The sequence below is a fragment of the Homo sapiens genome, chromosome X (assembly GCF_000001405.40).
Source record: "Homo sapiens chromosome X, GRCh38.p14 Primary Assembly".
Taxonomy (NCBI): Eukaryota; Metazoa; Chordata; class Mammalia; order Primates; family Hominidae; genus Homo; species Homo sapiens.
Genome location: NC_000023.11, coordinates 52,727,139 through 52,751,242, shown reverse-complemented (window position 1 = coordinate 52,751,242; position 24,104 = coordinate 52,727,139). Strand labels below are relative to the sequence as shown.

Genomic DNA, 24,104 nt, shown 5'->3' with positions numbered 1-24,104 from the left:
GTCAGAGCATGCGTACTCTGAACTTAAAGTAGCCAATCCCAGGGGATGCTTTAGGCGGGAAAATTAGAGTCTCCACCCCCACTTTGAGAAGGTTCCGTCCCTGGAGCCGGGACTGATAGAAGCCACATCCGCTTCGCTTGTTCCGCCTACTGTTCTGACTTCTAATTGGCCAGATGGAGTTCACTAACTGCCCTGATTGGTCCATCATCCTTGGGCAGTGACATAGCAGAATAATGTCTCCTCCTCCAGCCACACTTTGTTGCCACTGCGAAAAAGTGGGTGGTCCTCAGGCGCCGTCAGATTTTGAACTCTCTGAAGACCGTTCCTGGATCTTGGGTTAAAAATCTGGATTCTAGTCTGAACTGTGGGAAGAAAAAAATAGTCAATCTGTGATTTTTCTACTTGAAAGACACGATGTTTTCCAAACTAGCACATTTGCGGAGGTTTGCTATACTTAGTCGTGGCTTTCATTCTTCAGTGGCTTCTATGTCTGTTGCCACTGAAAAAACAGTCCAAGGCCCCGCAACCTCTGCTTACATTTTTGAAAGGGAATCTTAAGTATGGTGCGCACAATTACCATCCTTTACCTGTAGCCCTGAAGAGAGGAAAATGTATTTACTTATGGGATGTGATTGTGGTATTGGTTACATCTGCCTTGGCCAATCCTCCAGCCTCCGTCTTGGGACTACAGGCGCGAACCACCCTACCCCCACTAATATTTTTTATTTTTTGATTTTTTAATAGAGAAGGTTTCGCTGTGTTGGCCAGGCTGGTCTTGACGTCGTGGGCTCAAGCGATCCTCCCACCTCGGCCTCGGGACTACAGGCATTCACCACCCAGCCCACGCTTTTTTTTTTTTTTTTTTTTAAGTAGAAACCAGGTTTTGCTATGTTGGCCAGGCTGGTCTCATCGTCCTGGGCTCAAGGGATCCTTCCGCCATGGCCTCGAGACGACAGGCATGCACCACCCTGCCCACGCTTTTTTTTTTTTTTTTTTTTTTAGTAGAAACCGTGTTTCCCTATGTTGGCCAGGCCGGCATCAAGCTCCTGGACTCAAGGGATCCTCCCATCTCAGGACTACAGCCATGCACCACCCTGCCCAAGCTATTTTTTGTTTTGTTTTGTTTCGTTTTAGTGGAAACCGGGTTTCGATATGTTGCCCAGGCTGGCCTCAACCTCTCAGGCTCAGATGATGCTTCCACCTCGGCCTCAGAACTATAGGCGTGTGCCATTCTACCCCGCTCATTTTTATTTATTTATTTATTTATTTATTTTTTAGGAGAGGCAGGCTTTCGCTTTGTTGGCCAGGCTGGTATCAAACTCCTGGGCTCAAGCAATGCTCCCACCTTGGCCTCAAAACTACAGGAGTGAGCCACCCCGCCCACGCTATTTTTCTGTTGTTCTTGTTGTTAGCAGAAATGGGGTTTCGCTATGTTGGCCAGGCTGGCCTCGACCTCCTAGGCTCAAGCAATCCTCCCGCCTCGGCCTCGGGACTATGGGCTCACACCACCCCGCCCCCACTAATATTTTTAATTTTTCTATTAGAGACAGTTTCGCTATGTTGTCCAGGCTGGGCTCTACCTCTGGGACTCAAGTGATTCTCCCGCCTCGGCCTTGGGACTACAGGCATGCACCACCCTGCCTTTTGCTATGTTTCCCAGGTTGGTCTTGACCTCCTGGGCTCACTCAATGATTTGAACCCGGGAAGTGGAGGTTGCATTGAGCTGAGATCACACCACTGCACTCCAGCTTGGGCGACAGAGCAAGACTGAAAAAGAAAGAAAGAAAGAAAGAAAGAGCGAGAGAGAGACCAGCTGAATCTCCGTAAGAACAGTGAGCTTTGTGGTATTTTTACTTGCCCTCGTCCCATCTCATGCTCCCAGCTTGGTTCTGTTCATTGTTGATGAAATACAGATAGGATTGGCCAGAACTGGTAGATGGCTGGCTGTTGATCATGAAAATGTCAGTCCTGATATAGTCCTCCTTGGAAAGGCCCTTTCTGGAGGTTGATACTCTGTGTCTGCAGTGCTGTGGGACGATGGCATAATGCTGACCATTAAGCCAGGGGAACATGGGTCCACATACGGTGGCAATCCACTAGGCTGCTGAGTGACCATCGCAGCCCTTGAGGTTTTAGAACAAGAAAATCTTGCTGAAAATGCAGAAAAAAAAATGGGTATTATCGTGAGAAGTGAACCCATGAAGCTACCTTTTGATGTTGTAACTGCCATAAGAGGAACAGAATTATTATTATTGCTATTATTTTGAGTCAGAGGTTCATTCTGGTTGCCCAGGTTGGAGTGCAATGGCGCGATCTTGGCTCACTGCAACCTCTGCCTGCTGGGTTCTAGCGATTCTCCTGCCTCAGCCTCCTGAGTAGCTGGGATTACAGGCACGCGCCACTATGCCCGGCTAATTTTTGTATTTTTAGTAGAGACGGGGTTTCGCCATGTTGGCCAGGCTGGTCTCGAACTCCTGACCTCAGGCGATCCACCCGCCTCAGCCTCCCAAAGTGTTGGGATTACAGGCGTGAGCCACTGTGCCCGGGAGGAAAATAATTATTAAATGCTATTGTTATTAAAGAAACCATAGACTGTAATGCTTGGGAGGTGTGTCTATGACTTTGAGATTATGGACTTCTGGCCAAGCCCACCCATGGTGACATCATCAGGTTTCACCTCTGCTGGTGATCAAGGAGGATGAGATTCGAGAGTCCAGTGAAATCATTAACAAGACCATCTTGTCGTTCTGAGGGTAGCAGCTGTTTTCAGTGGTCCCTGGGAGCCGGCTGGAGACAGGTGGTCCTGTAAAAGCTCTGCTCTAAATGTAGGCACATTCCACTCCCATGTGCCGTCAAAATCTTTTTGTGTATATATGTTTTTTTCAGTTGATACACAATGGAACAATGTTCATGAACCTGACATTTGCTTTGTAGTGTTAAGAGAATGTAATGGCATCTATATTCAGTGAAAGCGTTTTGATGTGCACGTGTACTTTATAAGGTGAAATGCATCTGTATATACAGACAGCCTTTAAATCACATCCTTCAGTATACTTTATATATGCTTTTATAATTTCCTTGCTGGTATAAAGGTTTTGTATTTGAAAAAGTATCTCTAGCGTATTACATAAAAGGCTGCACCTTATAAAGTCAAATCATTGTTTTCATTGAATTTTAGGAAGGATCAATGGTTAAGCATATAAAAAATACTAGTTCTTTTGTTTTCTTTTGTTTTTTGTTTTTGTTTTTGTTTTGAGACGGAGTCTCGCTCTGTCGCCCAGGCTGGAGTGCAGTGGCTCGATCTCCGCTCACTGCAAGCTCCGCCTCCTGGGTTCACGCCATTCTCCTGCCTCAGCCTCCCGAGTGGCTGGGACTACAGGTGCCCACCAAAACGCCTGGCTAATTTTTTGTATTCTTAGTAGAGACGGGGTTTCATCGTGTTAGCCAGGATGGTCTCGATCTCCTGACCTCGTGATCCGCCCGCCTCGACCTCCCAAAGTGTTGGGATTACAGGTGTGAGCCACTGAGCCTGGCCTATAAATTACTAATATTAAGTAAACTTTATGTTGACCAACACCAGGATATATTCTATGGATGTCATTATTTTGAATTAAGAATTAGTGTTTAACATCCCTAAATTGTTTTGAGTGCTTGATTATAATTTGTAAAAAAAAGTTTATTTTTAATATTTCTTTACATTTTAAACAAAGCTTATATTTCAGAAAAAAAAAAAAAAGAGACAGAACATGGGCCGGGTGCAGTGGTTCACGCTTGTAATCCCAGCACTTTTGGGAGGGTCGAGGTGGGCAGATCACTTGAGGTCAGGAGTTTGAGACCAGCCTGGCCAACATGGAGAAACCCCGTCTCTACTAAAAGTACAAAAATTAGCCAGGCATGGTGGCACCCGCCTGTAGTCCCAGCTACATGGGAGGCTGAGACAGAATAGCTCGAACCCGGGAGGCAGAGGCTGCAGTGAGCTCGAGAGTGTGCCACTGCACTACAGCCTAGGAGACAGAGTGAGAATCCCTCTTGAAAAAAAAAATGTACAGTACATTTTCATCACCGCAATGCTATCCCTTGTGCTACTCATTTTTAGTAATACTCTCCTCCCATCCGCCATCCCTAATCCCTGGCAACCACAAATCTGTTTTTCGTTTCCACAATTTTGTCTTTTCTACAATGCTGTACAAGTGAAATCTTACAGTATATAACGTTTTACGGGCTTATTTCACTCAGCGTAATTCCATGGAGATTCCTCCAAGATATTGATATTTGTGTATCAATAGTTCATTGTTGTTGTTGTTGTTGTTGAGACAGAGTCTCACTCTGTCACCCAGGCTAGAGTGCAGTGTCTCGGCTCACTGCAACTGTCTGCCTCCCGGGTTCAAGCAATTTTCCAGCCTCAGCCTCCCGAGTAGCTCTGACTACAGGTGCGCGCCACCACACCCGGGTAATTTTTGTATCAGTAGTAAAGATGGGGTTTCAACATACTGGCAAGGCTGGTCTTGAACTCCTGACATCATCATCCACCCGCCTCGACCTCCCAAAGTGCTGTGATAACAGGGTGAGCCACTGTGCCCTGACGATAGTTCATTTTTATTGCTGAGTAGCATTCCAGGGGATGGATATACCACAGTTTGACCATTCACTTATTTTAGGACATATTGATTATTTCCAGCTATTGGCTATTACAAGTAAAGCTGCTATGAACAATTATGTACAAGTTTCTGGATGGGCATACATTTTAATTTCTCTGAAGTGTAATTGTTGAATTGTATGGTCACTGCATTGTTTAGTTTTATAAGAAACTACCAAACTGCTTTCCAGAGTGGCTGTAAGATTTTACCTTCCCAGCAGCACTTAATGAGGTGTCCAGTTTCTCTGCATCCTTGTCACCATTTGGTGTTGTCACTATGTCTTTTATTTTAGCTATTGTAATAAGTGTGTAGTGATACCTCATCGTGGTGTTATTCTGCATCTAGTGAAGCAAATGAGTGTTGAACATCTTTTCATGTGCTTATTTGCTTATTTCCTCTTCAGTGAAATGTATGTTCATATCTTTTCATGATTTTCTAATTGGATTATTTGTTTGTATTTTTTACCATTGAGGTTTTTATTATTTTTTTTTTTCTTGAGACAGAGTCTTGCTCTGTTACCCAGGCTGGAGTGCAGTGGCACGATCTTGGCTCGCTCCGACCTCCACCTCCGAGGTTCAAGTGATTCTCGTGCCTCAGCCTCCAGAGTAGCTGGGATTACAGGCATGCATCATCATGCTTGTCTAATTTTTGTATTTTTAGTAGAGATGGGTTTTTTGCCATGTTGCCCAGGCTGGTCTTGAACTCCTGGCCTCAAGGGATCTGCCCTCCGTCCACCTCGACCTTTCAAAGTGCTGGGATTACAAGCGTGAGCCACCACGCTCAGCCTACTGTTGAGTTTTGAGAGTACTATACGTATCCATTGTATATTCTGGATGTGAGTCCTTTCTTGGATATGTGGTTTGCAAACATTTTCTTTCAGATCGTACCCTATTTTTTCATCCTTTTAACAAGATTTCTTGCAGAGCAAAAGTTTTAAATTGGATAAAATCTAATTTATTTTTTTCTTATGTATTATGCTTTTTGAACCATTCACTATGCCCTAGATCTCAGACGTTTCTCCTATATTTTCTTGTAAAACTTTGTTTTTAGTTCATTTGTTTGTTTGTTTGTTTGTTTGTTTTTTGAGATGCAGTCTCGCTCTGTTGCCCAGGATGGAGTGCAGTGGCACGATCTCGGCTCACTGCAAGCTCCACCTCCCAGGTTCACCCCATTCTCCTGCCTCAGCCTCCCGAGTAGCTGGGACTACAGGCGCCTGCCACCACGCCCAGCTAACTTGTTTGTATTTTTAGTAGAGACAGGGTTTCACTGTGTTAGCCAGGATGGTCTCGATCTCCTGACCTCGTGATCCGCCCACCTCGGCCTCCCAAAGTGCTGGGATTACAGGCGTGAGCCACCGTGCCCGGCCTTTTTTAGTTTTATATTTTAGATTTAAATCTATGATCCACTTGACTTACTTTTTTGTATAAAGGTATGAAGACTAGGCCTTATTATTATTATTTTTTTTTTTTTGGCCTATGGCTCTGCAACTGCCCCAGCACCATTTGTTAAGCAGATGATCTTTCCCTATTTTTGTCTCTTGGTAAAAAATCAGTGTGGGCTATTTCTAGGTTTTCTATTTTGTTACAGCGATCTATGTGTCTATTTTTCTCCCAATGGTATATAGTCTTGATTCCTGTAGCTATATAAGAAGTATTGAAATATGGTAGAGCAATTCCTCCCACCTTATTCTTCTTCTTTTTCAAAAATTGTCTTAGCTATATAAATATTTTTTGAGATGGAGTCTCACTTTTGTCGCCCAAGCTGGAGGGCAGTGGGGTGATCTTGGCTCACTGCAACTTCTGTCTACTGTGTTCAAGCGGTTCTCCTGTCTCAGCTTCCCGAGTAGCTGGGATTTCAGGTGCACGCCACCACACCCGGCTAATTTTTGTATTTTTAGTAGAGACAGGGTTTCGCCATGTTGGCCAGGCTGGTCTCAAACTCCTTACCTCAAGCGATCTGCCCCTCTCAGCCTCCCAAAGTGCTGGGAATACAGGCGTGAGACACGGGGCCCAGTGTTGTCTTAGCTGTTGACAATTTGTTACAGCAGCAATCAAAAATGAATACACATAGAAATAGATTAATTAGTGAAACAAAATAAAAAGTCAAGAAACAGACTAATTTATATACAAACTTCAGCATGCATTTCCAAACAGTGGGCAAAAGATGGGGTGTATAATAAAGGATTGTATAATAAAGGATTGTTGTCTATCCATTTGGAAAAATAAACATTAAATCCTTACTTTCAACCACATAAAATAATAAATTCTAAAAATTCAGAGACTTAAATGTGAAAACGTGAAGTCATAAAGAACTAGATGAAATTTTAGGAAAATATTACAGCGTAAGACATCTTGAGTTGGCATAGGCACTTCCTGACATTACACCAAGGCTATAAACAATGAATCTGACATATTTAAAGATGTAAAAAGTAAAGTATCATCTAAGTCAAAAGACACCATAAAAAAACTGTTTAAAAAGGCAAATATTAGGCCAGGCACAGTGGCTCATGCCTGTAATCTCAGTACTTTGGGAGGCCAAGGCGGGCAGATCACGAGGTCAGCAGATCGAGACCATCCTGGCTACCACGGTGAAACCCTGTCTCTACTAAAAGTACAAAAAATTAGCCGGGTGTGGTGGTGGGTGCCTGTAGTCCCAGCTGCTCGGGAGGCTGAGGCAGGAGAATGGTATGAACCCGGCAGGAGAATGGCGTGAACCTGGGAGGCGGAGCTTGCAGTGAGCCGAGATTGCACCACTGCACTCCATCCTGGGCAATAGAGTGAGACTCCGTCTCAAAAAAAAAAAAAAAAAAAAAGGCAAATTTTGGGGAAAATGAAGCATCCCCAATAAATTAACAGTAACCATCTCTAATATGTAACAAAGCTTTTCCATATCAATAAGAGAAACTGGAACAACCAAATGAAAAAATGTGTTCAGGCATGGCACTACTTTATCGTATAGCAGAAAAGAATTACAGAATAGAAATTATGAAAGGAAAATAGTAAAGGAAATGGAGAAGAGATCCAAGAACTTTCAACGTTCATCCAGTAGAAGATCCAGAGGTAGAGAATAGAAAGACTGGGACGGGCGCGGTGGCTCACGCCTGTTATTCCAACACTTTGGGAGGCCAAGGCAGGCAGATTACATGAGGTCAGGAGTTCGAGACCAGCCTGTCCAACATGGTGAAACCCTGTCTCTACTAAAAATACAAAAATTAGCCCAGTGTGGTGGTGGGCGCCTGAAATCCCAGCTACTTGGGAGGCTGAGGCAGGGGAATCACTTGAACCCGGGAAACAGATGTTGCAGTGAGCTGAGGTCCTGCCACAGCACTCCAACCTCGGTGTCAGAGCAAAACTCCATCTCAAAAATGAAAAAAAAAAAAAAAAAAAAAAGACTGGAGAGAAGGCACTACTTGAAGAAATAATGTTCTAGAATTTTCCCAGTTGAACAAAGACATGAATCTTCAACCTGAAAAGAGCCACCTAGTTCTGAGCCTGATTAACACACATGTGCACACACACCTGCGCACGCAGGAGCGCACACACACACACACCCCCTCGGGGTAAAATTTCTAGGATAAAGATAAAATCCTGAAAGGTCCCAGAGAGAAAAAGAGAAGAGAGAATGCAATGGAGAGGTTTTTCAAGGAGCTGATTTAAAATAACTTTGGGCCAGGCGCAGTGGCTCATGCCTGTAGTCCCAGCACTTTCGGCGCCAAGACCAGATGCTCACTTGAGCTCAGGAGTTTGAGACCAGCCTGGCCAACAAGGCGAAACCCACTTCTACAAAAAATACAAGTAACCAGGTGTGGTGCCACATGCCTGTAGTCCCAGCTACTTGGGAGGCTGAGGCAGGAGAATTGCTTGAGTCCGGGAGGTGGAGATTGCAGTGAGCCGAGATTGTGCCATTGCATTCCAGCCTGGGTGACAGAGCCAGGCACTGTCTCAAAAAAACAAAACAAGAACAAACAATAAAAAAGTTGAACCTAGATATCTATATACAGCCAGAATAATCCAGAATGAGGGGAAAAATATTTCAGAAAATTCATGACGCATATACCCTTCAGAAATAATTATTGGTATCCAGTCCTGTGAGAAGGGAAAACTAAATTTAGGAGGAAGGAGGTGATTTCAGTAAGCAATGGCGAGCAGAAAAATAGTAAAATTTATTGAAAAGTGTAAGCTTTAGATTGAAAAATTTTAAAATTACAGTCTTGAACTAAAATTCCCAGTATTATAAACTTGGAAGACGGGAGCAGGGACAGGAAAGAAAAGATAAGTTTTTTTGGTGTTCAAGGAAGGGATACAGATGCTAATGAATGATAGAATGCGGTGGTGCACGCCTGTAACCTGAGCTATTCAGGAGGCTGGGGCAGGAGAATCACTTGAACCTGGGAGGTGGAGGTTGCATTGAGGTGAGATCACACCATTGCACTCCAGCCTGGGAAACAAGAGTGAAACTCTGGAAAAAGAAAAAAAAAAAAAGGCCAGGCACAGTGGCTCAAGCCTGTAATCCCAGCACTTTGGGAGGCCGAGACAGGTGGATCCCTTGAGTTCAGGAGTTCGAGACCAGTCTGGCCAACAAGGTGAAACTCCATCTCTACTAAAAATTCAAAAATTAGCCTGGCACAGTGTCACATGCCTGTGGTTCCAGCTACTCAAGAGGCTGAGGCAGGAGAATTGCTTGGACTCGGGAGGCAGAGGTTCAGTGAGCCAAGATCGTGCCACTGTGCTCCAACCTGGGCGACAGAGGAAGACTCTGTCTCAGATAAATAAATAAATAAATAAATAAATAAATAAATAAATAAATAAATAGAAAACCTATTGGATAGATTGGATATGAAAACATTAACTGCTCAAATAAATAATTCAGCGGAATAGATTGGATGTTAAAACCGATATAGTTGAAAAAGCAATTACTGAGCTGAGGAAATGCGTCTAAAGAATTCATAAAAGTAATCAGTAATGGATAGAGAAGAAGTAAATGAAAGAAAAGTTAATTAATAGAGAGGATAGAAGAATAAATGTCAAAACACATCTAATAGTAGCCTTATAAGAAGAGAATACAGTTATTAAAAAGGAGAGTGTACTTAAATAAGCAATCAATGAGAATTCCTCAGATTTAAAAAAATGACTTAAGGTTTAAAGGTATTATAGTACACACATACACACAGGAAAAGTGAAATGTAAAATTGTGAAAGACAAAGAAAAAATATTTTAAAAACGATCAGAGAGAAATAGCAGGTTACTTACGGAGGAAAAATAAACTGACACCGGATCTCTCAAATACCACACTGGAGGCAAGGATACAATGGTGTAATAACTCCAAGCTGTTGAAAAAAATGATTTTTTTTTTGAGACAGAGTCTCGCTTTCTCACCCAGGCTGGAGTGCAGTGGCATGATCTCAGCTCACTGCAACCTCTGCCTCCTGGGTTCAAGCAAATCTCCTGCCTCAGCCTCCTGAGTAGCTGGGGCTACAGGCGCACACCACCACACCCGGCTAATTTTTGTACTTTTAGTAGAGATGGGGTCTTGCCATGTTGGCCAAGCTGGTCTGGAACTCCTGACCTCAGGTTATCTGCCTGCCTCGGCCTCCCAAAGCGCTGGGATTACAGGCGTAAGCCACTGCACCCGACGAAAGAAAGGAATTTTTATACCGGGTGGAGTAAAGACAATGTCAGCCACATGACTTCAGGAGATTGAAGACACAGGGAAATGTTAAAGCAAACAAGTATTTACTGCACTTATTAGAGACTGTAAGGAAGGGCCAGCTGCAGTGGCTCGTGCCTGTAATCCCAGCACTTTGGGAGCCTGAGGCAAGAGGATTGATTGAGCCCGGGAGTTCAAGACCAGCCTGGGCAACATGGCAAAACGCCGTCTCTACAAAAAATTCAAAAATTAGACGGGCATATCAAGTTCCTGGGTCTGTAGAGAATTAAAAAAAAAAAAAAATATATGTGTATATATATATATATATATGGTTGGATTTGGTGGTGCGTACCTGTAGTCCCAGCTATTCGGGAGGCTGGGGCAGGAAGATTGCTTGGGCCCTGGAGTTTGAGGCTGCAGTGAGCTAGGATTGGGTCACTGCACTCCAGCCTGAGTTACAGAGTGAGACTTTGTCTCTGAAAAAAAAAAAAAAAAAAAAAAAAGATCGTAAGGACGATTTTACTCAGAGGGGGGACTACTGTGATAGGTACAGGGACCACCGTAATGGGGTCTTGCGGTGGGAGAGTGATATTGGGATCGACTTCAACTCCACAAGGACAAGTGGGGATTTGTAGTCAAGGAGTAGGGTCGGGGGGTCAGAAGATGGGAAATTACTTGGAGGAAACCTCAGGTGCAGGGGAATTCTGGCTAAACTGACTTGACAGGATTTTTGCTGAAACAGGCTAAATGGGCAGAGTCCCTGGATGAAGGACAGAGCCCGAGGTTGGGACCTAGTCAGAAACAGGACTCAGAGGAGCCCGATTCAAGTTTGGTCAAAGGAGAGTGTCTCTGTCTGAAAGCAAAAGCAAGAAAGCCAACAGCAGTAAAATGAATGGGTCACAAAGGAGAATTTTTGTGCATTGCTAAACAGGACTCTGCTTTAAACATTGTGAAAGTTGATTATGTGAAGTGAGTCACTCTTAGTTGTTTTTTTTGTTTGTTTTGTTTTGTTTTTTGTTTGTTTTTTTGTTTTTTTTTTTGTTTTTTTTTTTGTTTTTGAGATGAAGTCTCTCTGTGTCACCCAGGCTGGAGTGCCATGCGTGATCTCGGCTCACTGAAACCTCAGCTTCCTGGGTTGAAGCGATTCTCCCGCCTCAGCCTCCCGAGCAGCTGGGACTACAGCCACGTGCCACCACACCCGACTAATTTTGTATTTTTACCGGAGACAGGGTTTTGCCATGTTGACCAGGCTGGTCTCAAACTCCTGACCTCAAGCCATCTGTCCGCCTTGGCCTCCCAAAGTGCTGTGATTACAGGCGTGCTCCACCGCAACCCACTGAATTGACTCATTCTTGACATACACAACTATGTCAGAGTTGTGTGGCCAGGGGAAAAAGCACTCAGGGCACATTGCACCTGCTCTAAGAATTGAATTTTCCACAAGGCTGGTGGCTGAAATGGCCTGCTGCCACCCTAAGAGCACTTTTACCTAGTAACTGCTGAAACAACCTGCAATGACTCTAAGGCTTGTTTTACCTATTGTCCACACTCACCAATCAGAGCTTCCAGCTCCTGAAAGCTTCTCTGGTGCCAATGGACTTGCTTTAAAAACTATAGGTAACATTTCTGTTTCTAATAAAACTCTCAACTTTCTCTTTGTTCTTTGGACATACCAAAGACCAGCCAGTTTGGGTGTATGCCTCACATCACAATTCTGTGATTCTCAAGTAAAATGTTTAGAGATTCATGGCCTGGCGTGGTGGCTCACCCTGTAATCCCAGCCCTGTGGGAGGCTGAGGCCGGTGGATCGCTTGAGCCCAGGGGTTCGTGACCTGCCTGGACAACGTGGTGAAACCCTGTCACCACAAAAAAATACAAAAATTAGCTGGATGTGGTGGTGCATGCCTGTAATCCCAGCTATTCCAGAGGCTGAGTCGGGGAGGCAGAGGTTGCAGTGAGCCGAGATTGTGCCACTGCACTCCGGGGTGGGCGACAGAGTGAGACCCGGTCTCAAAACAAAAAACAAAAACAAAAACATAATATAACATCCTTAATATTGTAGTTAAAAAAAGAGACTCGTCTCCATAGGTTTTGACTTTGATATTTGTGGTGTCAGAAGTGGGGTCCGAAGCTGACTCACCTTGGAGATATCAATGACCTCTGGAACTATGGCGTGAGGTCTGCACACTTGGTCCCCTTGAGCTTTTGCTTTTCTGGTTGCCTCTTTCCCCCCTGGTGAGTCTTTCTTGGATCAAACTGCCATTTGCTGAGGAGTTGAGTTCAGTTTTATTTGGGAATTTGTTAGGAAGGGTCTTTCTCTCTCTCCTGGTTATGAAACCTCCTCTTTTCTTTTCCTTTCTTTTCTTGTCTTGTCTTTTTTATCTTGTCTTTCTCTTTTCTTCTTTTTTTGAGACAGTGTTTCGCTCTGTCGCCCAGGCTGCAGTGCAGTGGTGTGATCTGGGCTCACTGCAACCTTCACCTCCCAGGCTCAACTGATTCTCGTGCATCGTCCTCCCGAGTAACTGGGATTACAGGTGTGCGCCACTACGCCTGGATAATTTTTGTGTTTTTTAGTAGACATGTGGTTTCACCCTGTTAGCCAGGCTGGTCTTGAAGTCCTGAGCTCGAGTGATCTGCCCGCCTCGGCCTCCCAAAGTGCTGGGATTACAGGCATGAGCCACTACACCCAGCCAGAGACGGCCTGTTTAAGAGGGATTTTCTCCCTCCTGGTTATGAGGCCTGGTTACAGAGATTTTTCTGTTAGAGAAGGCTTCTCATGCTTCCTGGTAAGTTTGTACTTTATTTTCTGAATCGTTTGCATGCTTAGAGTTTAATTTGGCTTTTGTGTATTAGGCATTAAACCGAATCACCTAGATTAATTTATTTACACACAGGCTCTCAAAGTTCAAAGGCATGCCAACATAGTTCCCTCTTTCTGGGACGCCAGCTGGTAATATGTGCCAACATTATGGGGATCATTCACGCAGTCTGTTTTCCTCAAACTGAACTAAAATAATACAGTCCAAATGGGACTCCTATCTCAGTTGGTATCTTGAGGCTCCAGAACACATTCAAGACTCAAAGGCTGCCTCACTGCAAGATACTGTCTAAAGCTAGCTGAGATTTTCTTCTCCAAAGCCTTCCCCTCTCCTTTGTTTACCTCTTCCTCTTTATCCTTCTTTAAGCAAAACTCTTTTTCCAAAACTCCTCAGCTACTCTGACATACTGACTATTAAAATAAAGACAGTTGAAAGACATCAGATACAAATAAAATAAAATCACTGACCTTTGTAGTGTTTCTTAAAAGCAAAAGATGAAATTCCCATGTAAAAGATCTCCTTCCTATACTAAAAGGGAAGACAACACTCTTATCTTCAAGGATGAGGAATTGAGACCAAGAGAACACTATACAAAGCTTATTGGAATACCACTTATCTTTTGGGCCTTCTCACATAATTCAGTCACATTTTTACAGTTAACAATTCTTTGTCTAATTCAACATGTTGGTAACTGACTCAAACTGCTTTACCCAAAATTTGGGTCACCACCTTCATAGGATTACCTATTGAGGAGAAAAATCTTAAATAAAGTTTAGCCTTCTTCCATTTTGTCAGAAATATAATTTAGATCCAACGTCTTTTATAAATTGGTGAGTTTGTATGTTTTACTGTCCCATAATCAAAATTCTAAAATGAAAGTTATCTTTGTTTATGTACGTATCTGTGTTTGGGCGTATTCATACGTATGTACATGTGTTATGTTAAATGTGTCTACGTGGTAAAATCTGGAATCGTTGGCAAACAATTATTTAAAGAATCCTATTCAGATTGGCTTAACTAGGTACTCATATAAATACACAGTAATTAACTAAAACGCATTTAGTTCATGCAACTTAATTAAGTAGTTGAAAAATAAGCTGGTTTTAAAATTGTTGGTAAAATAAAATGAGAAATGTTTTCAAAATTGTGACCACACATTTTTGGCTGGGTTTACTGGTTCTATATTTGTCTCTGTTGGATGTTTTAAGGTTATGAAACATAAACCTAACCTAAAAACAGAATGGTCTTTTATGTGCAATTCTTTGATAAGTAAGACTAATTTAATATTGTGGGTGTAATAAAACAGCTGTATTTTCTGAGTTATTGGCAAAATACTCATATATTTAAGGTTTTTGCTCAGGTGGATACCTGACATTTACAGGCTATAAAAATGTTTTAATAGGAAAATAACTCCAAATGACTAGCTTTATTTATTTATTTATTTATTTATTTATTTATTTATTTAGAGCAGAGTCTCCCTCTGTCGCCCAGGCTGGAGTGCAGTGGTGCTATCTCGGCTCGCTGCAGCCTCTGCCTCCCAGGTTCAAGAGATTGTCCTGTCTCAGCCTCCCAAGTAGCTGGGACTCTAGGCGTGCGCCCCCATGCCTGGATAATTTTTGTATTTTTGGTAGAGATGGGGTTTCACCTTGTTGGCCAGGCTGGTCTTGAACTCCTGACCTCAAGTGATCTGCCCTTCTTGGCCTCCCTAAGTGCTGGGATTACAGGCGTGAGCCACCGACCCCGGCCGACTGGCTTTGTTTAATATGTCAGTTTTCATAAGTAATCTAGGTATAATAGTTAAAATGAATAAATGAGGTAACTGTGAGATACATGTTTATAAGTGAACTTTTCATGTAATTTGAAATGTTTTTTTCTCTTGCTCTTACCATATGGAGATGAAATATTAAAGTTGTGTTATGTTAGATTAAGTAATAGGTACTCACTAAATGCCAGGATCATGTCCAACTAAGAAAACAATGGATCACCTGCCTAGGCCTTCCAAAATGCTGGGATTACAGGTGTGAGCCACCATGCCCAGTGAGGAAAAGAAGTATTAAACGCTATTGTTATTAAAGAAACCAAAGATCGTGATGCTTGGAAGGTGATTCTAAGACTCGAGATAATGGACTTCTGGCCAAGCCAACCCATGGTGACATCGTCAGGTTTGCGCCTCCACTGGTGATCAAGGAGGATGAGATTCGAGAGTCCAGTGAAATCATTAACAAGACCATCTTGTCTTTCTGAGGGTAGCAGCTGTTTTCAGTGGTCCCTGGGAGCCGGCTGGAGACAGGTGGTCCTGTAAAAGCTCTGCTCTAAATGTAGGCACATTCTACTCCCATGTGTCTTCAAAGCCTTTGTGTGGAATATCCATTATTTTCAGTTGATACACAATAGAACAACGTTTATGAACCTGCCTTTTGCTTCGTAACGTAAGTAAGAGAATGTAGTGGCATCTATATTCAGTGAAAGTGTTTTGATGTGCATCTGTACTTTCTAAGGTAAAACATATCTATGTATACAGAACAGCCTTTAAATCACGTCCTTCAGTATACTTTATATATGTTTTTATAATTTCCTTGCTGGTAAAAATTTTTTGTATTTGAAAAAGTTATCTCTGGGGTATTGCATAAAAGGCTTCATCTTGTAAAGTCAAATCACTGCTATCATTAAATTTTAGGAAGGGCGAATGGTTAGTCATATGTAAAATACTAATATTAAGTAAACTTCATATTGGCAAACACCAGAATGTATTCTATGGTTGTCATTATTTTGAATTAAGAATTAGTGATTAAAATTCCTAAATTGTTTTGAGTGCTTGATTATAATTTGTAAAAAAAGTTTATTTTTAATATTTCTTTAAATTTAAAATAAGGCTTATATTTCAGGAAAAAACAAAAAAAAGATACAGAACATGGCCAGGTGCAGTGGTTCACGCCTGTAATCCCAGCGCATTGGTAGGCCAAGGTAGGCAGATCACTTGAGGTCAGGAGTTCGAGACCAGCCTGTCAAGATGGTGAAACCCCCTCTCTACTAAAAATACAAAAATTAGCCAGGCGTGGTGGCACGTGCCTGTATACCCAGATCCATGGGAGTGTGAGACAGGTGAATGGCTCAAACCTGGGAGGCAGAGGTTGCAGTGAGCCGAGAGATCCTGCCACTGCATTCCAGCCTGGGTGACAAAGTGAGACTCAATCTTGGAATTTAAAAAAAAAAATGGTACAGACCATTTCCATCACCACAGTGCCATCCCTTGTGCTACTCATTTTTAGTAATACTCACTCTCCTCCCATCCGCCATCCCTAACCCCTGACAACCACTAATCTATTTTTCATTTCTACTATTTTATATTTTCTACAATGCTATACGAATGAAATCTCATGGTATATAACATTTTAGAGGCTTATTTCTACTCAGCATAATTCCCTGGAGATTCATCCAAGCTATTAATATTTGTGTATCAATAGTTCATATTTTTGTTGTTGTTGTTGTTGAGATGGAGTCTCACTATGTCACCCAGGCTGGAGCGCAGTGGCGCGGTTTTGGCTCACTGCAACCTCTGCCTCCCGGGTTTAAGCGATTCTCGTGCCTCAGCCTCCCAAGTAGCTGGGACTACAGGTGCACGCCGCCACGCCCAGTTAATTTTTGTATTATTAGTAGAGACAGGGTTTCACCATATTAGCCAGGCTGGTCTCAAACTCCTGATCTCATGATCTACTTGCCTCCTGACCTCATGATCTGCCTGCCTCGGCTTCCCAAAATACCGGGATTACAAGTGTGAGCCACCGCGCACGGCCAATGGTTCATTTTTATTACTGAGTAGTATTACATGGTATGGATGTACCACAGTTTCACCATTCACCTATTGTTGGACATATTGATTATATCCGGCTATTTGGCTATTACAAGTAAAGTTGCTATGAACAATTATGTACAAGTTTCTGGATAGGCATACATTTTAATTTCTCTGAAGTGTAATTGATGAATTGTATGGTCACTGCATGTTTAGTTTTATAAGAAACTACCAAACTGCTTTCCAGAGTGGCTGTAAGATTTTACCTTCCCAGTAGCATTTTATTAGATGTCCAGTTTCTCTGCATCCTTTCCAGCATTTCGTATTGTCACTATGTCTTTTATTTTAGCTGTTGTAATAAGTGTGTAGTGCTGCCTCATCGTGGTCTTAATTTGCATCTAGTGAAGCAAGTAAGTGTTGAACAGCCTCTCATGTGCTTATTTGCTTATTTCCTCTTCAGTGAAATGTATGTTCATATATCTTCATAATTTTCTAATTGAATTATTTGTTTGTTTTTTTTTACCGTTGTTTTGTTTTGTTTTTGAGACAGAGTCTCGCTCTGTTACCAAGGCTGGAATACAGTGGCATGATCTTGGCTCACTCCAACCTCTGCCTCCCAGGTTCAAGCGATTCTCGTGCCTCAGCCTCCGGTGTAGCTGGGATTACAGGTGCGAACCATCATGCCTGTCTAATTTTTGTATGTTTAGTAGAGATGGGTTTTGCCATGTTGCCCAGGCTGGTCTCGAGCTCCTGGCCTCAAGGGATCTACCCTCCATCCACCTCGACCTCCCAAAGTGCTGGGATTACAAGCGTGAGCCACCACGCCTGGCATACCGTTGAGTTTTGAGAGTACTATACGTATCCGTTATATATTCTGGATGTGAGTCCTTTCTTGGATACGTGGTTTGCAAACATTTTCTCCCAGTTTACACCCTGTTTTTTCATCCTTTTAACACGGTTTCTACAGAGCAAAAGTTTTAAATTGGATGAAATCTAATTTATTTTTTTCCTTATGGATTATGTTTTTTGAACCATTCACCATGCCTAGATCTCAGACGTTTCTCCTACGCTTTCTTGTAAAAGTTTTTTTAGTGTTATATTTTAGATTTAAATCTATGATCCACTTGAGTTTTATATATATATATATATACACATATATAGTATATATATACACATATATGTATATATATACACGTAAATATTACACACATATACACGTATACATATACATATATATGTACGTGTATATATACACATATGTATATATGTGTATATATACACGTACATATATACATATGTATATATGTGTGTGTATACGTATATACACATATGTGTATATACGTATATACACATATATACACATATGTGTATATATACACATATATATATACGTATATATATATGAAGATTAGGTGTTTTTTTTTGTTGTTGTTGTTTGTTTTTTGTTGTTGTTGTTTCTTGTCTATGGATATGCAACTGCTCCAGCACTATTTGTTAAGCAGACGATCCTTCCTTCTTTTTGTCTCTTGGGGAAAATCAGTGTGGGACTATTTCCAGGTTCTCTGTTTTGTTCCAGTGATCTATGTGTCTATTCTTCTCCCAATACTACACAGTCTTGATTCCTGTAGCTATACAAGAAGTATTGAAATATGGTAGAGCCATTCCTCCCACCTTATTCTTCTTTTTCAAAAATTGTCTTAGCTACATATACATTTTTTGAGAAGGAGTCTCACTTTTGTCGCCCAAGCTGGAGGGCAGTGGGGTGATCTCGGCTCACTGCTGTCTCTGCCTCCCATGTTCAAGCGATTCTCCTGTCTCAGCTTCCCAAGTAGCTGGAATTTCAGGTACCCGTCACCACACCCAGCTAATTTTTGTATTTTTAGTAGAGACGGTGTTTCTCCATGTTAGCCAGGCTCGTCTCAAACTCCTGACCTCAAGCGATCCACCCATCTCGGCCTCCCAAAGTGTCTTTGTTCAGTTCAGAAAATTCTAGAACATTATTTCTTCAAGTACTGCCTTCTCCCCAGTCTTAATATTCTTTTTTTTATGTTTTTCATTTTTGTGACGTAGTTTTGCTCTGCCACCCAGGGTGTAGTGCAGTGGCAAGACCTCAGCTCACTGCAACCTCCGCTTCCCAGGTTCAACTGATTCTCCTGCCTCAGCCGCCCAAGTAGCTGGGATTTCAGATGCCCACCACCACACCGGGCTAATTTTTGTATTTTTAGTAGAGACAGGGTTTTGCCATGTTGGACAGGCTGGTCTCGAACTCCTGATCTCAGGTAATCTGCCTGCCTCGGCCTCCCAAAGTGCTGGGATGACAAGTGTGAGCCACCTCGCCAGGCCTTCACTTTCTTTAATGAACAATTATCAGAGTTTCATCTTAGAGGCAAAAGTGGCTACTGCCAGCCAATCTGTCTGTGGTGTTGGAGGGGAATCTGGCTGATTCAGACGTTTCAAATGAACTTTTAAATTAACCTACATGATGATTATCCTAAGGCCGTTTCCTCCTCCGTGTTTTTTTGATTCAGGGTTTGGAGTTTTTCAGAGGCTTTGTTACAAAGAGCATCTCCTGGTCGGGCACAGTGACTCACGCTGTAGTGCCAGCACTTTGGGAGGCCGAGGCAGGCAGATCACTTGACGTCAGGAGTTTGAGACCAGCCTGGCCAACAGGGTGAAACCCCCGTCTCTACTAAAAATACAAAAATTAGCCAGCCGTGGTGGCGGGCTCCTGTGAATTCCAGTTACTGCAGGGGCTGAGGCAGGAGAATCCCTTGAACCTGGGAGACGGAGGGTGCAGTGAGCCGAGATCACGCCACTGCACTCCAGCCTGGGCGACAGCAATTCTATCTCTTTAAAAAAAAAAAAAAAGAAACGAAAAAGAAAAAAAGAAAATTCACATCACAGGCAATAGATAGCTATAAAAGGATACTTTATGAAAGATTTCACAGGAGAGACTGATGGAAAGAAAGAAGTATATATCTTACAGAGCTAAGCAGTTCACTGCAAAAATCAACGGAACTGCCTTTTTCTCCAAAAATAGTACCCCTAAGCTATATTACTACTGGTTCTTCTAGTCCTTCCCCCTATCCCAAATCCTCAAATTGTCCATTTCCTTATTGGGATAATTTTCCTCTGCCCAGATCTGGGTCCTCCACAACACTTAACCCTGTCTTCGGGTGTTTGAATGCCCATTGTTTTAGCTCAGGTTCCCAAGGAAACAGGCTTTGGGCCATACAGGACACATCTAGGCAGACTATACTGAGAAACCATGCCTGGAACGGTGCAGGGGGAGAGGAGAGGAGAGGCAATTTACGTACCTGACTCTCACTCCTGGTTCCTATTCTTATTGGTCAAAATTTACCGCACAGGCACGAGCTCCCCCACACTTCTAGATTGCATTAGCTGCCCCTTTGGCAGCTGTCTGGGAGCCCAGATCCCACACTTTGAAGTGTAGTGTTTCATACAATCCAAAAGTGGTAGCAGAGGCCAGGCATGGTGCCTTACTCTGTAATTCAATGCCATCCCCATCAAGCTACAAATGACTTTCTTCACAGAATTGGAAAAAACTACTTTAAAGTTCATATGGAACCAAAAAAGAGCCCACATTGCCAAGTCAATCCTAAGCCAAAAGAACAAAGCCAGAGGCATCATGCTACCTGACTTCAAACTATACTACAAGGCTACAGTAACCAAAACAGCATGGTACTGGTACCAAAACAGAGATATAGATCAATGGAACAGAACAGAGCCCTTAGAAATAATGCCACATATCTACAACCATCTGATCTTTGACAAACCTGACAAAAACAGGCAAAGGGGAAAGGATTCCCTATTTAATAAATGGTGCTGGGAAAACTGGCTAGCCATATGTAGAAAGCTGAAACTGGATCCCTTCCTTACACCTTATACAAAAATTAATTCAAGATGGATGAAAGACTTAAATGTTAGACCTAAAACCATAAAATCCCTAGAAGAAAACCTAGGCAATACCATTCAGGACATAGCATGGGCAAGGACTTCATGTCTGAAACACCAAAAGCAACGACAACAAAAGCCATAATTGACAAATGGGATCTAATTAAACTCAAGAGCTTCTGCACAGCAAAAGAAACTACCATCAGAGTGAACAGGCAGCCTACAGAATGGGAGAAAATTTTCGCAACCTACTCATCTGACAAAGGGCTAATATCCAGAATCTACAATGAACTCAAATAAATTTACAAGAAAAAAACAAACAACCCCATCAAAAAGTCGGCAAAGGATATGAACAGACACTTCTCAAAAGAAGACATTTATGCAGCCAGAAGACACATGAAAAAATGCTCATCATCACTGGCCATCAGAGAAATGCAAATCAAAACCACAATGAGATACCATCTCACACCAGTTAGAATGGCAATCATTAAAAAGTCAGGAAACAACAGGTGCTGGAGAGGATGTGGAGAAATAGGAACACTTTTACACTGTTGGTGGGACTGGAAACTAGTTCAACCATTGTGGAAGTCAGTGCGGCAGTTCCTCAGGGATCTAGAACTAGAAATACCGTTTGACCCAGCCATCCCATTACTGGGTATATACCCAAAGGATTATAAATCATGCTGCTATAAAGACACATGCACACGTATGTTTATTGTGGCACTATTCACAATAGCAAAGAGTTGGAACCAACCCAAATGTCCAACAATGATAGACTGGATTAAGAAAATGTGGCATATATACACCATGGAATACTATGCAGCCATAAAAAATGATGAGTTCATGTCCTTTGTAGGGACATGGATGACACTGGAAACCATCATTCTCAGTAAGCTATCACAAAGACAAAAAACCAAGCACCGCATGTTCTCACTCATAGGTGGGAAGTGAACAATGAGAACACATGGACACAGGAAGGAAGACATCACATTCCGGGGACTGGTATGGGGTGCATGCATGCCCGTCGTCTCTAGAGGATCCCCTAAAACTTACTCAGCCTGGGCGACAGAGTAAGTCTCCGTCTCAAAAAACAAACAGCATCTCTCGCCTACAGTGATTTGAGCTGTGGTCTTGTCTCCTTGGGTTTCTCTATCAGTCTGACCCCATCTACTCTATCTCCCAGGAATGCCTCAATATTTCTGGTGGACCACTGACACGCTTTCCTATTTTCCTCTACTGTTAAGAATTGATCCTTGAAAACATTTTTTTAAATTTTATTATTATTGTACTTTAAGTTTTAGGGTACATGTGTACAATGTGCAGGTTTGTTACATATGTATACATGTGCCATGTTGGTGTGCTGCACCCATTAACTTGTCATTTCTCATTAAGTATATCTCCTAATGCTATCCCTCCCCCCTGCGCCCTCCCCGCACCCCATAACAGTCCCCGGAATGTGATGTTCTCCTTCCTGTGTCCATGTGTTCTCATTGTTCACTTCCCACCTATGAGTGAGAACATGCGGTGCTTGGTTTTTTGTCCTTGTGATAGCTTACTGAGAATGATGGTTTCCAGTGTCATCCATGTCCCTACAAAGGACATGAACTCATCATTTTTTATGGCTGCATAGTATTCCATGGTGTATATATGCCACATTTTCTTAATCCAGTCTATCATTGTTGGACATTTGGGTTGGTTCCAACTCTTTGCTATTGTGAATAGTGCCACAATAAACATACGTGTGCATGTGTCTTTATAGCAGCATGATTTATAATCCTTTGGGTATATACCCAGTAATGGGATGGCTGGGTCAAACGGTATTTCTAGTTCTAGATCCCTGAGGAACTGCCGCACTGACTTCCACAATGGTTGAACTAGTTTCCAGTCCCACCAACAGTGTAAAAGTGTTCCTATTTCTCCACATCCTCTCCAGCACCTGTTGTTTCCTGACTTTTTAATGATTGCCATTCTAACTGGTGTGAGATGGTATCTCATTGTGGTTTTGATTTGCATTTCTCTGATGGCCAGTGATGATGAGCATTTTTTCATGTGTCTTCTGGCTGCATAAATGTCTTCTTTTGAGAAGTGTCTGTTCATATCCTTTGCCGACTTTTTGATGGGGTTGTTTGTTTTTTTCTTGTAAATTTATTTGAGTTCATTGTAGATTCTGGATATTAGCCCTTTGTCAGATGAGTAGGTTGCGAAAATTTTCTCCCATTCTGTAGGCTGCCTGTTCACTCTGATGGTAGTTTCTTTTGCTGTGCAGAAGCTCTTGAGTTTAATTAGATCCCATTTGTCAATTATGGCTTTTGTTGTCGTTGCTTTTGGTGTTTCAGACATGAAGTCCTTGCCCATGCTATGTCCTGAATGGTATTGCCTAGGTTTTCTTCTAGGGTTTTTATGGTTTTAGGTCTAACATTTAAGTCTTTCATCCATCTTGAATTAATTTTTGTATAAGGTGTAAGGAAGGGATCCAGTTTCAGCTTTCTACATATGGCTAGCCAGTTTTCCCAGCACCATTTATTAAATAGGGAATCCTTTCCCCTTTGCCTGTTTTTGTCAGGTTTGTCAAAGATCAGATGGTTGTAGATATGTGGCATTATTTCTAAGGGCTCTGTTCTGTTCCATTGATCTATATCTCTGTTTTGGTACCAGTACCATGCTGTTTTGGTTACTGTAGCCTTGTAGTATAGTTTGAAGTCAGGTAGCATGATGCCTCTGGCTTTGTTCTTTTGGCTTAGGATTGACTTGGCAATGTGGGCTCTTTTTTGGTTCCATATGAACTTTAAAGTAGTTTTTTCCAATTCTGTGAAGAAAGTCATTTGTAGCTTGATGGGGATGGCATTGAATTACAGAGTAAGGCACCATGCCTGGCCTCTGCTACCACTTTTGGATTGTATGAAACACTACACTTCAAAGTGTGGGATCTGGGCTCCCAGACAGCTGCCAAAGGGGCAGCTAATGCAATCTAGAAGTGTGGGGGAGCTCGTGCCTGTGCGGTAAATTTTGACCAATAAGAATAGGAACCAGGAGTGAGAGTCAGGTACGTAAATTGCCTCTCCTCTCCTCTCCCCCTGCACCGTTCCAGGCATGGTTTCTCAGTATAGTCTGCCTAGATGTGTCCTGTATGGCCCAAAGCCTGTTTCCTTGGGAACCTGAGCTAAAACAATGGGCATTCAAACACCCGAAGACAGGGTTAAGTGTTGTGGAGGACCCAGATCTGGGCAGAGGAAAATTATCCCAATAAGGAAATGGACAATTTGAGGATTTGGGATAGGGGGAAGGACTAGAAGAACC

At 42.4% G+C, this 24,104-nt stretch overlaps 1 pseudogene; it reads left to right on the top strand.

Moving 5' to 3' along the window:
- On the top strand, positions 1,886–3,721 carry LOC102723585 (ornithine aminotransferase pseudogene; annotated as a pseudogene).